Source organism: Homo sapiens, chromosome 16, assembly GCF_000001405.40.
Source record: "Homo sapiens chromosome 16, GRCh38.p14 Primary Assembly".
Taxonomy (NCBI): Eukaryota; Metazoa; Chordata; class Mammalia; order Primates; family Hominidae; genus Homo; species Homo sapiens.
The window spans coordinates 30793255-30800426 of NC_000016.10; the positions used below are offsets into that span (position 1 = coordinate 30793255).

At 49.2% G+C, this 7172-nt stretch overlaps 1 annotated feature.

Annotated features, from left to right (window-relative positions):
- Nucleotides 2596-2799: a silencer, noted in NCBI's record as "fragment chr16:30807171-30807374 (GRCh37/hg19 assembly coordinates)". NCBI's record gives its function as "represses an EF-1alpha promoter that drives an FKBP-Casp9 reporter gene in an ReSE screen in K562 erythroleukemia cells {active_cell/tissue: K562}" and the evidence as "EXISTENCE:reporter gene assay evidence [ECO:0000049][PMID:32094911]".

Genomic DNA, 7172 nt, shown 5'->3' on the forward strand with positions numbered 1-7172 from the left:
TTAAAAAGTAAAGAACAGGTTGCCTTCAACCATATCTACTACTGAAGCTAATGCAAACTTCTCGGCCTTCCAAGAAGATTTGTATCTATCTCTAAAACTATCTAATATTTTTCCTACCAGCCTGACTGAATCCCAATACAAACCCTGCACCATCCTCACTGGCTGGTGTGGTCTTGGGCAACTCTTGGAGATTCAGCTTCCTCTTCCTTGGGAAGAAGATGAGCCTTGGTACCCAAGGGACAGAGGGGTAAATGAGATAATGTGTGTCCAAGCACTTGGGAAGAATGTGTTCCCTCTCCCAAAGGAGGTGACCAGCGGAGCCGGGTTGGCCTCACTCTTCCTTGTCTGAGCTCACAGCCCTTGGCCTGGTAGATAGGAGATAGAGGATTCTCAAAGCCATGTCCTGAGATGACACCGGGAGTGTTTAACCTGTGAGGACTCACCATCATAAGCTCCAACCTCTGGTGTCTGGCCAGGGATACTCTAGAGGGCAGGATGGTGATGCTGGAGGGACCCATGCTGTTCCACGCCTGAGGCACCCTCTCACATGAAGAGGGTCTCACCGCAGGCAGGGGAGGCTGCAGAGGCCACCGTCAGGCCAGGTGGGCCTCCTTCCTGGAGACATGTGAGCCACAGGTGTGCTGGCGGCTGCTTTTCAGGACTGCAGTCCTTAAATGTGGGGCAAGAGCTGAGGCTGAGGAGCTAGCAGGCCCCTCCCACCTTGGGATTTCATGATCAGTCACTTACTGCCCAAAAACCTACCATGTCTCCCTAATGCTTCACACATCAGACCTCCTGCCCTACTGGTGCCTGCTAACAGCTGCATTTCCCAAGGCTCAGACCTGAGCCCTTCCCTTGTGTTCTCTTCCTGAAAAATCTCAATGTGGCCAATTCCAAAATCCCTAGATGTCCACTGCTCAGCCCATAGCCCTCTCCTCACTGCCATCCCCTTGTTTTTTTGTAGTTGTTTGTTTTTTGAGACAAGAGTCTCACTCTGTCGCCAGGCTGGAGTGCAGTGGCGCAATCTCGGCTTACTGCAACCTCCACCTCCCAGGTTGAAACGATTCTCCTGCCTCAGCCTCCTGAGTAGCTGGGACTACAGGCGTGCGCCATCTCATGCCCAGCTAATTTTTGTATTTTTAGTAGAGACAGGGTTTCACCATGTTCGCCAGGCTGGTCTTGAACTCCTGACCTCAAGTGATCCCCTCAACTCAGCCTCCCAAAGTGCTGGGATTACAGGCATGAGCCACTGTGCCCGGCCCCGCCCCCCTGTTTTTAAGACACAGGGTCTGGCTCTGTCACCCAGGCTGGAGGGCAGTGGCGTGATCACAGCTCACTTCAGCCTTGACCTCTTGGGCTCAAGTGGTCCTCCTGTCTCAGTTTCCTAACTAGTTGGGACTATAGGCATGGGCCACCGCACCCCCTTAATTTTTTTATTTTTTGTAGAGACAGGGTCTTGCTCTGTTGCTCAGGCTAATCTCAAACACCTAGTCTTGAACTCCCGGTCTGTAAGTCCTGACCTCAAGTGATCCTCCCACCTCAGCCTCCCAAAGTGCTAGGATTACAGGCATGAGCCACCGCCTCCTCACTTTGTTCTTTATCTCCATTTGCCTAACAGATCTTTCCACTAGGCCATCACCACAGATTCACCAGCTCCATTCCCCTACACCACACCTGATCATTCTGTTCCCCAAGGCCTGAGGGATCCACCCCCTTAATCAGTAGATCCTGATTCCTGTGGTGCTCCTGCTGCCCTCACCCCCCACCCCAGGCCACTGGAGCCCTCAGGTCCTCATTCCTGAATCACCACAGTGACTTTCAAATGGGTTGTCCCCACTCCAGCCCCCTTCACTTCTCCCTGCCCATCTGGTGCCCCATGGATCTTCCTAAAAGTACCAGTATGGGGCCGGGCACGGTGGCTTAGGCCTGTAATCCCAGCACTTTGGGAGGCCGAGATGGGTGGATCACAAGGTCAGGAGATCGAGACCATCCTGGCTAACATGTGAAACCCCGTCTCTACTAAAAATACAAAAAAATTAGCCAGGCGCGGTGGCGGGTGCCTGTAGTCCCAGCTACTCAGGAGGCTGAGGCAGGAGAATGGCGTGAACCCGGGAGGCGGGGCTTGCAGTGAGCCGAGATCGCGCCACTGCACTCCAGCCTGGGCGATAGAGCGAGACTCTGTCTCAAAAAAAAAAAAAAAAAAAAGGTACCAGTATGTTCCCCCTTCAGAACCCTCTGTGGTCCTTATTATCTTTTTTTCTTTTTTTCTTTTTTTTTGAGACGGAATCTCACTCTGTCACCCAGGCTAGAGTGCAGTGGTGCAATCTTGGCTCACTTAAATTTCCACCTCCCAGGTTCCAGCAATTCTCCTGCCTCAGCCTCCCAAGTAGCTGGGACTACAGGTACACGCCACCAAGCCTGGCTAATTTTTGCATTTAGTAGAGACAGGGTTTGACCATATTGGCCAGGCTGGTCTCAAACTCCTGACCTCGTGATCCGCCCGCCTTGACCTCCCAAAGTGCTGGGATTACAGGTGTGAGCCACCACGCCCAGCCAGGTCCTTATCATCAGTAGAGGGCTTAAACACAGTTGTTGTTTTGTTTTTTAAATCATGGTATTTTTATATTTTTTAAAAAATCAGCATAACTTTAAGCTATAGAAAATCATACATAAATGGGTAAATAAAATAAATGTATAGGCCGGGCACAGTGGCTCACGCCTGTAATCCCAGCAGTTTGGGAGGCCGAGGCAGGCGGATCACTGGAGGTCAGGAATTCGAGACCAGACTAGCCAACATGGTGAAACCCGGTCTCTACTAAAATTCAAAAATTAGCCAGGTGTGGTAGCTCAGGCCTGTAATCCCAGCTACTCAGGAGGCTGAGGCTGGAGAATCTCTTGAACCTGGGAGACACAGGTTGCAGTTAGCCAAGATCACACTCACTGCAGCACACTAGAGAGTCGCCCAAGCTGGATTGCAGTGGCGCGATCTCGGCTCACTGCAACCTCCACCTCCCGGGTTCAAGCAATTCTCCTGCCTCAGCCTCCCGAGTAGCTAGGATTACAGGCATGCGCCACCATGCTGGGCTAATTTTGGTATTTTTAGTAGAGACAGGGTTTCACCATGTTGGCCAGGCTGGTCTCAAACTCCCGACCTCAGGTGATCCTCCCACCTCAACCTCCCAGACTGCTGGGATTACAGGCATGAGCCACTGCACCTGGCCAGGGGTTGAGTTTTGTAAAGGTATTCTCACTAGACTAATGGCTTCTGACTGCTAAGAGTTTGTTTGTTTGTTTGTTTGTTTTCTTTGTAGGTTTATTTATTTTTTTATTATTATTATTATTTTTGAGACTGAGTTTCGCTCTTGTCCCCCAGGCTGGAGTGCAATGGCATCATCTTGGCTCACTGCAACCTCCGCCTCCCGGGTTCAAGTGATTCTCCTGCTTCAGCCTCCTGAGTAGCGGGGATTACAGGCGTGCGCCACCATGCCTGGCTAATTTTTGTATTTTTAGTAGGGACGGGGTTTCACCATGTTGGCCAGGCTGGTCTTGAACTCCTGACCTCAAGTGATTTGCCCGCCTTGGCCTCCCAAAGTGCTGGGATTACAGGCGTGAGCCACCGTGCCCAGCTGGTTTATTTTCAAACACGTATTTATAAGGTGACCTATGAAGTTGAAGTTGTGCAGCCTTTCTCTAGTTATATAAGGCTTCAGATATTTAAAGAACACCTTTAAGTGGGTCCCATAAAGGAGAGGAGGGAATTTTACAGTTGTGTTTGTTTGTTTATACTTGCTTGGTTTCAAAAAGGACATGAAGCATTTAGAGAGCCACATATTACACAACAGGTGCCTGGCATCTGATCCTTACTGACTCATAGTCCCTAAATCTTGGCCATTGTTACTGACAGTAGCAGTAGTAATGGAGTAAGTAGTATCATTAACAAGACAAAAAACTGAAATGCAAAGGGAAATTAAAGGGGGAATTATAACATGAAACTAGTGTTGGTACACAAAACATATGGTATAAAGTTCCATACAATAGCTAAAAGTGGCTTGTAGATTGGCTGATCTTTCTAGAGACCTGTACAAATAAATACTGGGTCCAGGCCGGACACGGTGGCTCAAGCCTGTAATCCCAGCACTTTAGGAGGCCAAGGCGGGCAGATCACAAGGTCAGGAGTTCGAGACCAGCCTGGCCAATATGGTGAAACCCTGTCTCTACTAAAAATACAAAAAAATTAGCGGGGCGTGGTGGCGCATGCCTGTAGTTCCAGCTACTCAGGAGGCTGAGGCAGGAGAATCGCTTGAGCCCGGGAGGTGGAGGTTGCAGTGAGCCGAGATCATGCCACTGACTCCAGCCTGGGTGACAGAGTGAGACTCTGTCTCAAAAAAAAAAAAAAAAAATACTGGGTCCACACTTCATGTGGCACATCCAGGAAAGTTCTCCTGTGGGTTTTCAGCAAACCGATATTTTGAGATGCACAGGGCCACGTCTTCAACCCCATCCCTTAGTTCTGGACCCAGTCTAACACAGACACGGATGGACAAACAAAGCCCCAATGATGTATGATACTGAGTATGGCTGCCATGAATTTGACAGTCATGCTTTTAAAGCTGCCATTACTGGCCAGGCAAGGTGGCTCACACCTGTAATGCCAGCACTTGTGGGGGCCAAGGCAAGAGGATTGCTTGAGGCCAGGAGTTCAAGACCAGCCTGGGCAACATAACGAGACCCTAGACTTCTGAGAAAAAAAGGAGGGGGTCTGACAGATGACTTGAAGCTAGACCAGCTTAATACCAGTGCAGCTTGACTGCCCCTATAGGCAGGCTTGCTCCAAACCTAGTGGATAGCACTAAGAGTACAAAAGCAGACTGGGTGCGGTGGCTCATGCCTATAATCCCAGCACCTGGGGAGGCTGAGGTGGGAGGATCGAGCCCAGGAATTGGAGGCTGCAGTGAGCTATGACTGCACCACTGCACTCCAGCCGGGGTGACACAGTGAGACCCTGTCTCTACAAAAGAGAAAAAAAGTAAAACAGCAAACAAACAACAAAACGTCCAAATACTACTCTCTTAGAGTATGAAACAGAAACCATCTTCTTACTGGTTGGATGTTTCTAGGGCCACTGTGTTTCATTCTCTCTGAATGGCCCCTGGAGCTGAGCAGGGAGGAGATACTGTGTATCTATGGAGTAACCCCATAGGGTTAAAAGTTACATGTTGTCCTGGTTTTTCTCAGACTTCACCAGTGCTTAATTTTTTTTTTTTTTTTTGAGAGAGTCTCGCTATGTCGCCCAGGCTGGTGTGCAGTGGTGTGATCTCGGCTCGCTGCAACCTCTGCCTCCCGGGTTCAAGTGATTCTCCTGCCTCAGCCTCCCAAGTAGCTGGGAATACAGGTGCGTGCCACCATGCCCAGCTAATTTCTGCGTTTTTAGTAGAGATGGGGTTTCACCATGTTAGCCAGGTTGGTCTCGAACCTGACCTCGTGATCCGCCCACCTCAGCCTCTCAAAGTGCTGGAATTACAGGCATGAGCAACTGTCTCTGGCCTAATTTTTGTATTTTTAGTAGAGACAGGGTTTCACCATGTTGGCCAGGCTGGTCTTGAACTTCTCGACCTCTGGTGATCCACTTGCCTCGGCCTCCCAAAGTGCTGGCATTATAGGCATGAGTCACCGCACCCGGCCTAACCAGTGCTTAAAATTTGACATTCTCTAGATTAAGGCTGGGACATATGATTTGTAATAGTGGCTTTATTTATTTATTCATTTTTTGAGACAGGTCTTAACTCTGTTGCCCAGGATGGAGTGCAGTGGTGCAATCCTAGCTCACTGCAGCCTCGACCTCCCAAGGGTCAAGCAACCCTCCCACTTCATCCTCCCGAGTAGCTGGGACTACAGGCGCACACCACCACAACCGGCTAATTTTTGCACTCACAGACTCACTACTCACTTTTTTTTTTTTTTTTTTTTGAGACGGAGTCTCGCTCTGTCGCCCAGGCCGGACTGCGGACTGCAGTGGCGCAATCTCGGCTCACTGCAAGCTCCGCTTCCCGGGTTCACGCCATTCTCCTGCCTCAGCCTCCCGAGTAGCTGGGACTACAGGCGCCCGCCACCGCGCCCGGCTAATTTTTTGTATTTTTAGTAGAGACGGGGTTTCACCTTGTTAGCCAGGATGGTCTCGATCTCCTGACCTCATGATCCACCCGCCTCGGCCTCCCAAAGTGCTGGGATTACAGGCGTGAGCCACCGCGCCCGGCCTCACTTTTTTTTTTTTTTTTTTTTTGAGACAGAGTCTTGCTCTGTTGCCCAGGTTGGAATGTAGTGGCGGGATCTCGGCTCACTGCAACCTCCGCCTCCTGGGCTCAAGTGATCCTTCTGCCTCAGCCTCCTGAGTAGCTGGGACTACAGGCACATGCACCCGGCTAATTTTTGTATTTTTAGTAGAGACAGGGGTTTCACCATGTTACTCAGGCTGGTCTCGAACTCCTGACCGCCGGTGATCCACTTGCCTTGGCCTCCCAAAGTGCTGGGATTACAGGTGTGAGCCACTGTGCCCGGCCTGAAATACTATTTTTAACCTAAGAGGTTATCAAATGTAAATAGTTTAATTATCTACTATGTGGAGAAAGATGCACTCTCAAACATTAGTAAGATGTGCACTTCCTCTTTGAAGAAAGATTTGGCTAGACTGATCAAAATTCAAAATGCCCATACCCTTTGATGCAGCAATTCCACTTCTAGATCCCACAGGCATGGTCACACATGCACATGAAGATGTATTTACATACTACAATTTCCACTGAAATGTTTTTATAGCAAAAGACTGAAAATAACCTATGTCCACCATAGGAGAGTTGATTAAATAAATCATAGCATATCCATATAATGGAATACTTGGCTTTGAAAATAAAAGCAGCTATGTAGAAACTGACATGAAACATTCTCCAAAATAGGTGCTGATGTGAAAAAATGCAAGGGGAAAAGCAAGCATTACTGTGTGCCATCCATTTTCTGCTTTCTAAAAGGAGATGCTTGCATATGCATGGACTAGCTCGGAAAGACACGACAAATTGGTAATAGCTCAGCTCAGGAGAGGGAACGGGAAGGGGCTGGGCAGAAGCAGGAGGGAATCTTGCTTTTTTTATACATCTACCTTTTTATGCAGTTTGAATTTC